This window comes from Homo sapiens, chromosome 10 (genome assembly GCF_000001405.40).
Source record: "Homo sapiens chromosome 10, GRCh38.p14 Primary Assembly".
Lineage (NCBI taxonomy): Eukaryota > Metazoa > Chordata > Mammalia > Primates > Hominidae > Homo > Homo sapiens.
The window spans coordinates 94,065,324-94,081,949 of NC_000010.11; the positions used below are offsets into that span (position 1 = coordinate 94,065,324).

A 16,626-nucleotide genomic window follows, 5' to 3' on the forward strand; every position below is an offset into this window, starting at 1 on the left:
CTGGGGCCATAGCTCATGTATGACACTTGCTCTATGGAGAAACTTAAACCTTGTTTTCCAAGCTTAGACCCAGAATCATGGCCAATCTTCTCTTGGCCTTATGTGCTGTGTGCAAAACCTTATGCTGTTGCTGCTTTTATTTCTTCCTGGATGAGAAAGACATGACCCGTGGATTATCATCATGAATTCTACAGGCCTCACTCTGTTGTACTTTAGTCAGATCGCAGGCATGAGGCTTATTGCATCATATTTGCCTACCCCCATAAAATTATGAAATCTCTGGAGACAGCAGTTGTCCTTAATTATCTCTGTGTCTCCAGTATTTTGTTCAGGGCCTGTTATACAAAAGAAGGCCTTTAATTAATGTTTTCAGTATTAATTGGAAATTGACACTCTGCCAGAAAAGGTCAACCCACAGCGTCAGGGAGGAGTAGGACCATTGGCTGTTAGAGGGCAGCAGGGACCTTGGAATAATTCCAGAAATGGTATCTCAGCCTCAAGTTATTTGGGGGAATGTCCCATGGCCATTTGACAGAGTCAGTGAGGTGGCCAACCTCTCTGCTTGGGGAAGACTTTCTAGATAACCATTAAGGCACAAAAATTGCTGTGTTAATAGCCTTTCCCCCTCCTTTAACCTGTAAAAGATAAGTCTGTGTTTGCTTTGTCAGTGTCCTCTCTTTAAAGAGGCAGTATTTTGGCTAGCTGAGAGAGAGAAGCTAAGTTCATCTATAAAACAATCTATACTCTCAGGGGGAGGAGAAGAGGCACAAAAATCACAAAGATCTATGTGGAGACAGCAAACTTTGGGGAGGTCATTTTGCAGAAGAGTGTTCTGCAGCAGCTAAAGGATAAAAGGAATTGGAGAGGAAAGGGAAAGGGTGAATGGGCCCCTCTGATATTCTCTAACAAAAGCAAATAAAAGATTTAGCTTGTGAATTAGCTTTCTCTGTCTTTTTCATTGTTCTGTCCCTTGCATCAGGCACAATGCTTGGCACATAGATAGCTCTCAGTTAATATTTATTCAATTAATTCCTTAAATAATATTTGTGGCTGTTGGAATTGTATCCTTCAACAAATGATGCTGCCCAGACTACAAGACCTATAGTCACACAATTCACAGTGTTATGGGGCTTGGAGCACGATCTTTTGAGACCCTAACTCTGGTATGGTGGAGGTATTAATGGAGAGGCAGGGAGACATGTACCAACTCACTCCCAACTTCACAGTGAAGTGGCCATGCCCTTCTGTGCGTTAGTTCAGGACCAAGGACAGCATTCCTTGGACGCTCCCCCTCACATTTTAATGCACTATTCCCATGCTTGCGTGTGATTTCAACATCCTGGGCCCCTTGTCTTTCCATTACACCTGCTCTGCAACTTCCCGACTGGGATCAATCTAATACTGACTTCTCCACTTCTAGATATAGACGGCTAAGTACTGCTGGAGAGAAATGACAAAGCTAAACTTTTGGATGACACACAATTTCATGGTTTGTTATCTCAGCTCCACCAAGCAGTCCTAAAATGTCCCTTGTAGTCACTCTTTATCCCATACCCACAATGGTATTCCAAACCTGCATCACTCCAGCTATTCGCACGTTTGCCTTCCTGTTCTGTCTCCATATATGACTTTGTCTCCTATTTCCAGGGGGAATTGAGGTTACAAAGTGTGAATTCCTTCAACTTCCTTTTTACACTCACTTTGCTTTCTTTGTTCACCCTTAAAGGAAAAGGTGTCCCTTGGCCTCTTCAAAACAAAACCCCTATCTCTGCTTCTGATTTTCCTCCCCAACCCTCAGGTCCTCTAGGACCAGACCCTGTTACCTCAGATATTCTCTCCTTCTTCTTGATCTCTGCTGGATCTTCCTAACATACTGGTTAGTGACCCGGACAACCATGAGACTCTGTCATAATCACAAGGACTTCTTATTTAAATATAGAGATTTGGGTACCCTGTTTCTAGCTGACTGAATCAGAGTTTTTGGAGGTGGGCCCTGGAATCTACATATTTAACCAGGATTCCTGGTTCAGAAAGCACCATTAAAAGCTCTGCCTTTACTCTTGCTGCCCCCAAACATCCTGAACCCAGGAGCCAGAAAGACCTCTTCATAATGCAAATCTGATCATCTCATTCATTCCTTGTTAAAAGCCAGAGTTTTTGTTTCCTTTAAATAAGTCAGGTTCAAGGCAGGATACACATGGCACATCAAACTGGACAATATGAAGAGAGTTTAATGCTGGTGATATTTACAAAAGTGTGGCAGGATGTGGGACACAAATAAGGCCTGAGCAACACCCCAGGGCTAACAGCAAAGGGCCTGAAGGGGGAAGAGGAGGGAGCAATTACTTGTGCAATGAAAGAGGGCTGCTTGGCCAGATGTGAAATTAGTGGAAAGAGTCATCTAGCCTGCAGCAAGTGGCAGGAAAGTACAGAGTAAAAGAAATACTCCTTCTTCCTCTGCTTCCTCCTTCTGAACCTGGGTTAGTGCTGGCCTTTGGATGAGGATAAGGGAGACTGGTACAGTGTTTACAGGCCAGCCTCCAGCATCCAGAGCTTGGAGCAGGTGGAGAAGGGAGGAGTATGGGTCTTGGGGAAGGGGAACATGCAAACAGAAGTTACATAGCATGGTTTCTAACCAGCACTCCTAAGATAGGGGCTGAACCCCCATGGTGGCACATAATGTCCTCTTCCAGCAGGCTTTGTCCTCCTGCCTTGCACCCTCCCCTGTAACCTCTATGCAGACTGGCAGAAGTGGGGCTCTGCCAGTCCCAGGTTGTTTAATTGCTCACATCTGTCCCATCTCTTTGCTCATGCAGTCACCTATGTCTGAAATGCCCACTCTGCTTTTGTTCACCTAAAAACTCCCAAACTTCCTGCAAAAGTAAGCCCAAGTGACACCATCTCAATGAAGCCCCTCTTTAGCCTTCTCAGCAATAGAATTGACCACTGCTTCTTTCGTGCTCCCATCATACTCCACGCTTCTCCACCATTGTAATAGTACAGTTGACCCTCTGTTATGCATCCTCGGATTCAAGCAATCACAAATAGAAAATATTCGGGGGAAAAATAACAATTCAACAATAAATAATACAAATAAAACAATGCAACATAACTATTTACATAAAATTTGCATTGTATTGGATATTATAAGTAATCTAGAGATGATTTATGCTATACAAGAGGATGTGTGTGGATTTTTGCAAATAGCCATTTTATATAAGGAACTTAAGCATGTGGATTTGGGTATCTGAGGGGGTCCCGGAACCAATGTCCCATGGATACCGAGGAATGACTGTATTAACATGTATGGAATGCTTACTATATGCCTGGCACTGAGAAGTTTGCATGTGTTAACTAATTAAGTCCTCATAATAACTATATTATCCCCATTTTACAGGTGAGGAAACTGAGGCGCAGAGTGGTTAAGTAAGTTTCACTGGATTACCAAGCTAATAATTAGTAGAGACAGGATGTAGAGCCAGGCAGTCTGCTTAACAACACTGCCATAAAGCTTTATGGCACTAGTACCACTCGACTGTATTAATTTGTTACATGCCTATCTTCCTCTACTCGACCACAAACTCACCAAGGACAGGACGGTATTTTATTTACCTCTTATTCACTACCCTCTTGCCCTGCCCCTGTGCTTAGCACAGCTTGGCAAATAGGGAGTATTCAATAGATGAATGAGGGAAATGAATGAGGAGTGAAAGAAAAGGAATCCTTTACAAACATTCCTTCTTTATGGTTGAGAAGGCTGCAACTCAGAGAAGCTAAATAATTTGCCCTAAGTCCTAGCCTATGCTATAATTTCAGTCCAGGTCTTCCTCACTACAATACATCTTTTTGCCCACCATATCAGGCTGCTTTCAAAAGGAACACAAAATTTTAATGCTATACAGTTGTCCCCAAATAAAAAATATGGCAAGCTGGCAAAATATAGGTTCAATTCATGGAATTGAGGTCAAGATCCAAAGCAGAAACTCTACCGAGGGACCAGGCATGGTGGTTCATGCCTGTAATTCCAGCACTTTGAGAGGCTGAAGCAGGCAGATCACTTGAGGTCAGGAGTTCAAGACCAGCCTGGCCAACATAGTGAAAACCCATCTCTATTAAAAATACATGCACACACACACAAAAATAACCAGGAGTGGTGGCACATGCCTGTAGTCCGAGCTACTCCGGAGCCTGAGGCAGGAGAATCACTTGAACTTGGGAGGCAGAAGTTGCAGTGAGCCGAGAACACACCACTGCACTCCAGCCTGGGCAACAGAGTGAGACTCTGTCTAAAAACAAACAAACAAACAAACAAACAAATAAACAGACTAGAGATATGGAACAGAAAGAAAGTTCTAGGTCAGAATTCAGGTTAATATCCAAAGAGTTGGGATTTAAGAACCACAGTTCTGGAAGCAGAGGACAGACATTTGAATAGCGGATTATTTTGACAGCATCTGAGACAATCCCCTCTTTTTGAAGCTATCACTTGAGCAAACAGAGGGTGGTCAGGATTTAAGGAGTGCGTCTTCTGAGGAGCGGGGTGGAGTCTAACCAAAGCCAGGTCTATAGGACAGCTCTCTGGGGGCTCCAGTTCCGTTATTGGAAATAAAGTACCAGTTAACTCAGAGCTCAACTGGCAACTCCTAAAATGAATAGGGAAAGAGGAATTTCTCCTTTCTTATATAAGCCTCCTTCCTTCAATTAAAAACTGTTTTAAAGCGTGCTTATCAAGGTTGGCTAGTCTCCAAGGAGTGAGGTAATGTGCTGTACCCTACAGCCACAGGCATATACCAGCCAATGGTCAGCTGTCACTATGAGGTACTGTCAGCCAATTTTAAAATGGAAAAATGCATGCCATGATAATGACTTATCTTCTTATCTAAATTTTAAACAGTTAAGATGCCTGGCTTGGAATAGTAATGTATGCAATCAATCAATAATCCCTTATTTTTAAACATAAAGAAGGAGGCATACATTTTCTTATTAATAGAGGATCAGTTTTTATCCTTGCCCCCCAACAAGTAAATGTTCAGCATATATGTTAAGAACATTAGTGTAAGGGGTCCCCAAATATCTGCTATTCCACTCACTGAACCCACCCCTCTCTGCTAATGGCTCCATCCTAAGGAGGAAGAGATGGGCTTCCCTCTCTTTCCCAGGAATGCTGATCCCCCAGCACAGGCTAGTTTGTTCTTCCTAGTGCCTCTCAGCTGGCCCCTTCTCTCTTTCCTTTATTACTTTCTCAGTCTAGACTCTAATTGTTCAGTTACTGGGTCAATTGCCTTCAAGGCATTTTCAGCATGGAGATACGCTTTTTGAGCAAAACTTCCAAGCCTGTCCACAATTTGATGCCTCTATACATTGAACACTTTTCTTGACTATTCCTGCTATTCACTTTAATTGGGGGAAGTTTCCACCATGGTTCTTACAGACAGAAGATCTGGGTTCATTGTTTATTCTATACCTTCAAGCCATGTCTCCCCAGCTTCTATCTTTTCCCTACATACAGGCTCAATTCCCATATCTCTTTTTTCTTCAAATCCTCCCCATCTTAGGACCCTCTTTTGCTATGAAGCTTTCCTTGGCTGTACTGGCCAACATTAATCCGCTTCTCCTGATGGCGACCTTGTACATGCCAGGCACCGTGCTAGACACTTCATACCCAACCGCATGCTTAATCTTGCCAACAAATCTGGGAGGAGAGCTTCCCCTTTCACAGAAGAACAAAGTGAAGTTCAGGAAGGCTAAGCAGCTTGCTCAAGACCTGATAGATAGTAAGTGCTGCGGCTGAGCCCTGATCCTGGAGTTACTGTGAAATTAACCCCTATTCCACCAAGACGTAGTCATCCAGCTTGGGCCTGACCCATGCACGGACCAGAAGGGCTGGAAGGAGTGTCCTGCTCACATCCTGCTTCCGTGTCCCTCTCACACCATCCTGGCTAGGAATAGTTTCCTCCAAACCAGAGGCATCACTGAAGCTCTTCATCTTTTTTTCTCCTCTGGGAAGAGGAGTTCATTACCTCACTTCTTACTCCCCGCACATTCCACCTCAGGCTGACTTTCCTGAAATATATGCACACATCTTAAGCCTCCTTTACTCTCTTTCTGCCTTTGTCTAGTTACATAGAAAGTCTTCCTCGGGTTTTGTCTGTGTGTGTGTGTTTGGTTTTCGTTTTTTTTTTTTTTTTTTTTTGAGTCACTCTCACTCTGTGGCCCAGGCTGGAGTGCAGTGGTGCAATCATAGTTCACTGCAGCCTTGAACTCCTGGGCTCAAGTGATCCTCCCGCTACTCATCCTCCCCAGTATCTGGGACTACAGGTGCATGCCACCATGCCCAGCTAATATTTTTTTAATTTGTAGAGATGAGCTCTTTCTGTGTTGCCCACGCTGGTTTCAAACTCCTGGCCTCAAGTGATTCTCCCACCTCAGCCTCCAAAAGTGCTAGGAATACAGGGGTGAACCACTGTGCCTAGCCTTCCTATTTCTTTCCCCCTCAGTGCTCCCCTCCCCCTCTATTTGTTATCACTCTTATTTGGCCCTGTCCTCTCTCTTAGTATTAACTCTTATCTTCCCATTTTTGTCTCTTTTAACGTTTCTCTTTCATTTCATTGCATTGAGGAGCTGAAAAACCCTGGATGGTGTTTGAGTAAGAGCTGTGCTCCAGGGCACTGTTCAGGAGGTCCAGCATCATTCTGCCTGCATTTGGCTCCCAGTTCTGCCAGTTTCTTACCTTAGGCAAATGGCTAAAACTCTTTCTGATTTTCCTCATCTATAAAATGTGCATGAGAGAAGTTACTGAGGCTGAAATGATACTCCTTTAATGTTTGTCTGTTGTTATTGTTTGCATTTGAATTTGAATGTTCTTGGACAGGGCCCATAGTCTCTACTCTTTACCTTTCCTATTTCCACCACTTTGCCTGAATTACCCATTTCTTTCTTTCTTTCTTTCTTTTTTGTTTTTTTTGTTTTTTTAGATGGAGTCTCGCTCTGTCACCCAGGCCGGAGTGCAGTGGGGCGATCTCAGCTCACTGCAAGCTCTGCCTCCCAGGTTCACGCCATTCTCCTGCATCAGCCTCCTGAGCAACTGGGACTACAGGCACCCGCCACCATGCCTGGCTAAGTTTTTTGTATTTTTAATAGAGACGGGATTTCACCATGTTAGCCAGGATGGTCTCAATCTCCTGACCTTGTGATCTGCCTGCCTTGGCCTCCCAAAGTGCTGGGATTACAGGCTACCCATTTCTTTTATTTGCTTGGCTCCTATAGATATTTGACTTTGTGACCTATACAGACGAAAGCATAGGAACTCTTCAGAATGTCTCTTTCAAATTGTCATTTATTTCTTTATTCTCCTACAAATAGACCAGTTTATTTTCAAGCATCAATAGTGATACTTACTTATTTTTTGTTATGTTTCATCCCTAGAATTTCAATAAGAGTTTTCTGTCTTCATTTCTTATGTAATGAAGAGGGTTAGATGAGTCTGACCCAATGTCACCAGGTGGCCTTCCTCTTTGAGCTCTCACCAGAAGTGTCTACTCACCCACACAGATGCACTGGTGAGCAATGTGGAGATCGCTGAAGAGCCCATGGTGCTGATGGGGGAGAGGGTGTACACCTTCCCTCTCAGTAGCAGCTTGGGCCCCTCCTCTAGCATTTCCAGCTGCAGAGCCTCTTTTGTCAGGGAGCACAGGGTGTTTTCTTTCCCTCTCTGCCCCCCACTTCCTACCCCAGGGCACACCAGTTATCCTGGCTCCTGTCTTCATCCTTCCATATCCAGTTTCCCACCCCAAACTTCCAGCATTTTCTAGGAGTGTAACTGCTCCCCCCACCACCCCACCCACCAACCCCAGGCAGTTCATGATCGTTTCTTTTTAAATGAACATTCTGGCACATACATTGTTTTTCCCCATGTCATTACTTAGATTTTTATAGACTAGCATAGTATACTAATCAGCATTTATATTACCTTTTCCATGAGCAAACATGTTTTGAATTCCAAGTAACCAACTTACTTTATAAACTTCTAAATGTTATGTCTAAAGTTATATGGTGCTCAGTGAGGACTGGAAATTGTCAGGAATGGCTTCATGGAAAGTGGGGCTTGAGTTAGACCTAGAGGGGTCTGTAGAAGGAGGTCAGACAGGGAAATATTCCAGGTGGAAGGGTGAAGATACGGAAGCAGAATTGAGAGAAGACAGTTAAAACCAGTATGGAGAAGACAGCATTTTATGATTCAATAAATAGAAGCCAATCGATCAATTTAGTTCATTTCCTCTTCCCTTCCACTTTAGGGTTTTAAGTCAGGAATGGCAATACTGGGCACATGTGCTACCTCCAGCCCACTGCACCCATGGCAGATGCTACTAATCATGACACTTGTTTTTCATGAATTTGTTACCAAAACACCAGAGGTTTGGTTTAGGTCCTACTGCTCCCCACACAGAATGCCAATCACCAAGTCAGCAAGCATTGCCAGGGAAGAAGGCTTTAATCGGTGCTGCAACCAAGGAGATGGGAGATGAGGTTTCAAATCCAGCTCCTGGACTGACAAAAATTAGGGTGTTTATATAGCACAGAAGGCGGGAAAACAGGAATTAGGGAATTAATCATGATCAATGAGGGATTTGATATCTCACTGTCTGGTTGTGGTGATCTATTGAGTTTCAGTCCCTTGTCTGAGGGTCAGTTCCTGAGGAAGGCACTCAGTTAAGACAAATACAAGTTTCAAGTGTTAAGATGGAGGGCCAATTTTTATGTTTATTCAGTGACCCATAAATATCATTTCTATGGGAAAACTGGGTCAGTTTCAAGTTCAGACAGGGCCTAAAATTTTTTTCATAATGTATCATACCAAGCAGTTCTTTTTTTTTTTTTTTTTTTTCTTGTAGACAGAGTCTCCCTCTGTAGCCAGGCTGGAGTGCAGTGGCTCAAACATGGATCACTGCAGCTTCGAACTCCTGAGCTCAAGTGATACTCCCAACATCAGCCTCCTGAGTAGCTGGGACCACAGATGTACACCACCACACCTGGCTAATTTCTATTTTTCATTTTTATTTTTTGTAGAGACAGGGTCTCCCTATGTTGCCCAGGCTGGTCTCAAACTCCTGAGCTCAAGCTATCCTCCAAAGTGGTTGGACCATAGGTGTGAGCCATAACACAGGGCCCATCCCAAACAGTTCTACCAGTTGATCAGAGTTGGCATGCAATGTGAAATCCATTTTCTATTCATGTCCTGAGTTTAGTAAATCTGGTGATTTTTATCTCTAAATGGAACTGCTTTATGAGTATCTTTATTAAGTCCAAAATGTAAACAGCCATTTAGAACAACATTAATATAATTACTCAAATGCTTTACGATACTATCTTGCCAGAACATAGATTTCATAGTGATAAACCAAAACCCACTTAACTAATGCTTAAATATATTTCCTTTTAAAAGGTGTCATTGGTCTAGTTACTAATGATATTAATTGCTTTATTTCCTCAGATCCCAATTTTGCATTGATCCATTTTCCAGGGCTTAGTATTGATTTTTTAAAGAATAACTTGTATAATATTAAGTGAGACAGCCATATCAATCAATTATAGTCCTCTCCTCAACTGGACAATTTATGCCTTGTAAATGTGGGTCTACACATAATGTTTTCTACAATGTCAGTAGGATTTCAAGTGCCTGGGGTTCTGTTCTTGTCTTTGTGGATTCCTTTCTCTGCCTGCCTTCTTCCCCTTCTCTTCTTGGCCTAATTATTATCTTTCAAGAACTAACACAGGAATTATCTTTCTGTGAGATCTTTCTGGAATCCCCACATTCACCATCACAATTAGTTTCTCTCTCCTCTCGGTTCTGTAGTGCTTTGTTTTTGCACCTTTAGCAGAATGGCTAGTTAGTCAGGGATGTGCCCATGTCCCCAGCTAGACTGGGAGCTCCTTGAGGGCAGCACGTGCCTTGTCACCTTCTTCTCCCCTCCATCTAATACGAAGTAGGTGGCAGATGCATCCTTTCCAAATGATTGACATCAATAAGACATTGAAAAAATATTGGGCTAGTAGAATTTTAATTTTGTTTGAACATGTTAATGTCCATGTTGGTTTACTTGAGAACACATAATTGGTGTAAAATTAGGTGACAAATTTGTAAATGTGGATTTAGGGAGTCATTCACATTGAAAGATTGAATTCTACTGCTGACTTCTACTGACTAAACTGCTGGCATTCTGTTCTTTACAGTAAAAGTGACATTGGGTGAAAGCATTGGTATCGGTGTCTAGCTGTTTTGAGCTGAGGCTACCTTTGTTTGAATGAAGGGAATATTTGGATCATCTGACTGGAAATATGTATGTCATGAGACAAGTATGCTGGCACTTCTGTTATGACAACAGATGATATCCTCTTCCTGAGTGAACTGGGAAAGGCAGGGAGTTTGGGGAGACCTGCAGCATGACCTGGGTCACATTCAGAATGCGTTCTGCTGTTCAGAGTTTCCTTGCTCTTGAGTATCACCCTTTGCCTCAGTTTTTCAGATGGAAAATGGGTGGAAGTCAGTGGAATTATTGTGTAATAAAAACAGCTAATGCTTATTTCCTATGCATCAAGTACCATGCTGAATACATGAGTTCATTTAATCCTGACAACAGCCCTGTGAGGTGTTACCATTAGGATGCCTACTTTACAGGAGAGGAAATGGCACCTTGGAGAGGTTAAGTGATGTGCTCAAGGCCAAATCCTAGTCAATGGAAAAGTCTGAGACCCAAATTCAAGTCTTTTTGACCATTGGCCCTGTGTGTGTGTTTGTGTGTGTGTGCGTGCGTGTGTGTGTGTGTGTGTGTGTTACCTCCATGCTAAGCTGCTTCTGCGGTAGCTCTAGAGAGCCTCATAAAAGAGCTAAATAAATAAAAGGGGTACGGGATATCCTTATTAGAGAGAAGAGTGTTTAGTAGGAGGTTATTATCTGTTTTCTTGAGAGAATTCCTGGCTTAGAGTAAAGACAGATGTTATAAAAACTGTACCCTGGTTGATTTGATTGACACCTCAAGATGTTTTGAATCTAGTTACACTTACATTACTGTCAGGTGATTTCTGAGATGTTGCTTTGTTGCAGTACAAGTTCAGAGGACAAAGGTCTTCCAGGGTTGGAGGGGTCAGTGTGAATGGAGCATTGGAGGTTGTGCCGCCTTTTCTGAGCTGTGCATGGTTGTCTTTTTTCCTACCAGTAGGTGGAAATAGAACTGAATCTTTCAGCACTTGCTCTTTCAGCTGAATCCTGGCAGGATTCCTTTAATTTCTGCCATGAAGGAAAAAAATAAAAAACCTCAGGAGAATTTTGGAGTGTACAGTTGGAGGACTGTTATTCTGCAGACTGGAATACTTCCAGTCTGATGGTCAGATAATGATTTCAGCCTCCTAGAAGGCCAGGGTGCTGGAAGCAGCTGCTGGCAGCCGTGGGTGTCCCATGAGCTCTGCTGGACACCCACCTTGAGGGGGGCTTTTCCTATCCTGACCACACATCCTTTTACAAGACTCCTCCCGTCCCACCCGTTTAAACCTTTGTCTTTACTGTGAAGTTGTGTATCATGTTTATTTTCAGAAACTGCATTTCTGAAATTAAAATCTACCAAGCTGAAACAGCACATAAGTGGATAAAGTACAAGAGGAAAGCCTCCCACCCACAGTTCCCTCACTTTCTCATTGTATTAACTGTTTTTTGCATACCTATCCAGACTTTTTCTATAACATAAACAATTATATATCTCATCGAAATAAAACAGGCATTATGTAACAAGTGTTGTTCTTTGCTTTGTGCACTTATGAGTGTATCAGGGCTGCCTATGAATGTGATTCGCTCTGGTGTTTCCCAGTTGGGGGCAGTTTGGCCCCCGAGGTGACACTTGGCAATGTCTGGAGACATTTTCAGTTGTCAACAACTGGGGTGACGGGATGCTACTGGCATCTAATGGGTAGTGGCCAGAGATGTTGCTAAATATTCTACAAGGCACAGGACAGCACCTCACAAAGCATTATCCAGCCCCTAATATTTAGTACTGAGGTTGAGAAACCCTTTGCTAGGTAACCTCATTCTTTGCAATGGTGCACTGAATTCTATAGTGTGAATTTCTCATCCTATGTTAATGTTTTCCTACTGGCAGTCACTTAAGGTTGTTTCCAACTCATCTCACCTGTAATCCCAGACCTTTGGGAGGCCAAGGTGAGAGAATCGCTTAAGGCTAGCAGTTTGAGACCAGTCCAGGCAACATAGTGAGACCCCAAGTCTGCCAAAAAAATATAAATAAATAAATTAGCCGGGCATGATGGCATGCATCTGTAGTACTAGCTACTCCGGAGGCTGAGGCGGGAGGATCACTTGAGCCCAGGAGTCAAGGCTACAGTGAACTATGATTGTGCCACTGCACTCCAGCCTGGGTGACAGAGCAAGACACTGTTTCAAAAAAACAAACAAACAAAAAAACAGTGTTGGAATAAATATTGGTTTACATCTTTGTGCACTTTGAGATTTTGTTTCTGCGAGATAAAGATACAAAATTAAAATATCTGAGGATAGGGACTTTATTTTAAAAGTAAAAAGTACTCTTTTACACCCAGAATCCCTAATTTGCTGTTCCAAAAAGCAAAAGACCTAAAAACAAAGTTTAAAAATTCACAGCAAACACAGGATTTGGTGGCAAAACCTTAGTTGAACTTGTGTGAGGCTAGTCTTTATTTATTACATTTAATGTGAATATTTAGACATCTGTTGCAGAAATCTTTATTTGATTATGGGTTACTGTCTCAGTCTCTGATGATGTAGTTACATAATATGGCACCTTATTGACTTTTTAAAAATATCTGAATTGAATTCTAAAGCTCTTTCAGCTTTTTGGCAAACATTGCCATCTGATAGATTTGTTTGCATTAGAATGGCAGCCTCGGGAATTTAATATTATAGTGATGTGCAGCATTTAGTCCTTAATAATTCTTATATGTTGAAATGAGCAGGTTGTGGTGACTTCAGTGATTTTGTTTTCAGCATCTATAACCCCCTTTTAAAGGTGATTTTAGTCCTATGAAGAAAAATTGCATGTTTTCAGGTCGCAATTCTTGCCTTGTGCTTTTCCGTACAAATTAGCCCCTCAGAAAACATGAAGCATGGTCTTGAAAATCACTTTTTGCTCATTTTTTTTTTTTGAGACAGAGTCTCGCTCTGTCACCTAGGCTGGAATGCAGTGGTGCGATCTCAACTCACTGCAACCTCCCCTCCCAGGTTCAAGCAATTCTCTGCCTCAGCCTCCCAAGTAGCTGGGATGACAGGCACCCACCACCATGCCCGGATAATTTTTGTATTTTTAGCAGAGACGAGTTTCACCATCTTGGCCAGGCTGGTCTTGAACTCCTGACCTCATGAACCACCCACCTTGGCCTCCCAAAGTGCTGGGATTACAGGCGTGAGCCACCATGTGTGGCCTGCTCATTCTTTAAAAGATTGGCAATAGCTACAACATTTTGCATGCTTGCTCTGTTTCATGCTTAGCAAACATTACCAAATCTGACCTCCACAACAATACCTCTAGGAGGTAGTCTTTTTGTCTTAGTTTATCTGCAGGGAATGGGCTTCTGGAAGTTGAGGATGTGTGCAAAGTAACATCTGGGAAGAGGCAGAACCCAAATCTGCAGCTGTAGGTGCTACATCCCTCCACGGTGTAATTAGAATTCACTTTCCCCAATGTGGACAGAGTTTTAATATTTCTATTAAACTGTAATTAAATTAATTAAATTGTAATTGGTAGCCGTTACAAAATTTTTGAGAAAAAAAATAGCCCCAAGTTGCTTTTTCTCTCAAGGGGCTACACTTGGACTTGATGGCAAATAGGAAAATGTCACTTGAGTCAAGTGGATATTTTCATCACAACATTAAGAGAAAGCATTGGAGCAAATCTGAGGTCACGAAGCTCTCCCACCAAAGAACTAAGCATTATTTGAAATGAGAAAACATTAATGTCCTCTCTGGAGCCTGGAATTGACATGAAATTAGGGAAAAGCATTGAGTTATATTTATTTCTTTTGGTTTAATCCCAAGATGTCGGTTTTCATTATGAAAGGGGAGGGGAACATCACACACCAGGGCCTGTCGTGGGGTGGGGAGCGAGGGGAGGGATAGCATTAGGAGAAATACCTAATGTAGATGACGTGTTGTTGGGTGCAGCAAACCACCATGGCACGTGTATACCTATGTAACAAAACTGTACGTTCTGCACATGTATCCCAGAACTTAAAGTATAATTTAAAAAAAGAAATTTAATTTAACATAAAAAATTTAAAAACATATTATCTTCTATTCTTTATAGCAGAGCCAGTTCAAGAACCCTCAGGAAAAATTCTTGCCCTAAGCCAACTGGAATTTCTGACTTCTGAATTTTTTTATGTGACAGGCTTAGCCTGGGGTAGAGTCCAGGAAGGATGCTTCTAGGTTGGTTTTTTAGCTGTTGCTGACATGATTCCCTTTGCTGCCTCCTAGCTCTCGAGGTTTCTCCAAAAAGCATATGCAAGGAACTTTCCTATTCCTTCCTTGGAGGAGTTTCCAATGTTCCTTCTCCACTGTGTCCTCTGCAACTCAATCTACCGATTTGTTTTAACATTTCAAGTTTATAGCTGATTTTACTATTGTGATGGGGAATCCCAGGGTATGAACTGTGTGCAGGACAGTTAACTACTCCTGTTATTTCTTGGCTTGCTAGGTTTTTATTGTTACTTTCAGCTGTCTTTCAGCCTTTTACCCATCGTCCTTCACCTTTGATGAGTTCTCTCTGGTACTTTGGTCTTTGAGAAAGACCTAAGTACACTCCCCTTAGTCCCTCATTTAAATGCCCATTCTCACAGCACCCCTGAACCTTGAGATGTCTTTAGATTCTGCATGAACACCTCACAGGTCCAAACTCCTCTCTGCCTCAGGCCCTTTGTATGTGCTAGTCCCTCTGTCTGGGACACACTCTCCTAGCTACCAGCCTCTTTTTACCTGGTTGTTAACTTCAGTTTATGTTCTCAGGGAAGCCTTCCTAGACCACCACACCCCTTCTCCTAGCTAAGATCAGCTATTAGTTGTGATTCTTTCATGAGTCAGTCTCTACCATGAGATTGGACATGCTATTAGCCCAGGGACCAAGTAAAATGTTTCATTTCAGTGCAATGACTATTTGTGCAGTGAATGAACAAATGAGGCCTGTACTTCTCTGGATTCCGAGTCAGCTTCTCTGCTTTTAGACTTTATTTTCCAGACCTACATTCTTACTGAAATATGTGTGTTTCCTCACATCATTCACCTGTCCTTTTCACTGGCCCCCTTCACCAGCCTTTACACTGTTTCCATTGTAGGCCCAGCCTGCACTCTCAAAAACAGAGTTATCCAGGCACTTCTGTATTCTGTTGTTTCTTAATATCAACAGGTTGTTTTAGAGATAGTTTGTTTGCTTGTGTTTATTTATTATGGATATTTCAAGAATACTGGGAAAGCACAAGGAGCTTATGACAAATAGCCATGTACCACTGCCCAGACTTGCAGGTGGAAACATTTGCAGTATTTGCTTCAAAGAAATAAAATGTTACAGAAACAGTTGAAGCTCCTACTCTCTCCTCTCCCCTCAGAGCTAACCACTGTGTGGACAATTGCCACATGAATTGTTGGAACACCTCAAATGAAAGTAAATAGGAAACTTGACATTTTGGCTAGATTATGGGAGGAAAATGTTATCTCAATCTTGTTTTTTTAAATATTTAACTGATTTCTAGTAAAGTTGAGCATTTTTAATGTTTATTGGCTACCTGGGCTGCTTCTATGAATTACATGTTTATATCTTTTTCCATTTTACCTATTTGCCATTTTTCTATTTATTTTTCTTCTTGGTTTGTAAAGATCTCTGTATATTTGGATTATTCTGTTGCCTGTAATATGTGTTACAAATACCAACTTCTAATCCATAACTTTTCATTTAGTTTTGTTTATATTATCATGTGTTGTGTAGAAATTTTAAATTTCTTTGTGATCTAATGAACATTTTTCTTCATGATTTCTGCTTTTTATATTTTAGGAAATCCTTATGCTGAGATTGTGAAGGTATTCTCATCAAAATGTTTTAAATGTTTTGTTTGTTACATTTTAACCTTTCATTCATTTGGAATTTATTTTTGTAATTAGGTAGAAATCTATTTTAACCAAGCTGCAGTATGCAGTTGAGTATATTTCTTCCTTTGCTATCTTTATACCACTGGCTTGTTTTTCATGTCTTATTACACTGCCTAGTACCTCTAGTATGATATTAAATAGACATGTCCTCAGGCATTTGCTAAACCTTACTTAACTTGATTACACTAATAATCAATAATGTAGGTCTGTATCAGCTTTATAGATGAAGTGACTGAAGCTTAGAGTAGTTAAGTAACCTTTCCAGAATCATACAGCTAGGAGGTAATTAACAGAGTCTGGGGTCAAACCCCAGTCCCAGTAACTTCAGAGTCCAACTGCCTATACTGCCTCTTGGTCTCAGATGACTTGGGGGAAAGGTATCCCTTTCCACCTTGCCTGCTTGTGCAGGCATGAAATTTTATTGAAGTGATGCCAGAGAAGCACTTCCAGTGTGT

General features: G+C 41.9%; 1 protein-coding gene across 25 annotated transcripts in view; it reads left to right on the forward strand.

Moving 5' to 3' along the window:
* The window catches only part of PLCE1 (phospholipase C epsilon 1), a 338,893-nt gene that overhangs the window by 71,393 nt on the left and 250,874 nt on the right, over positions 1-16,626 (forward strand). The gene's annotated exons all lie outside the window — the stretch shown is intronic.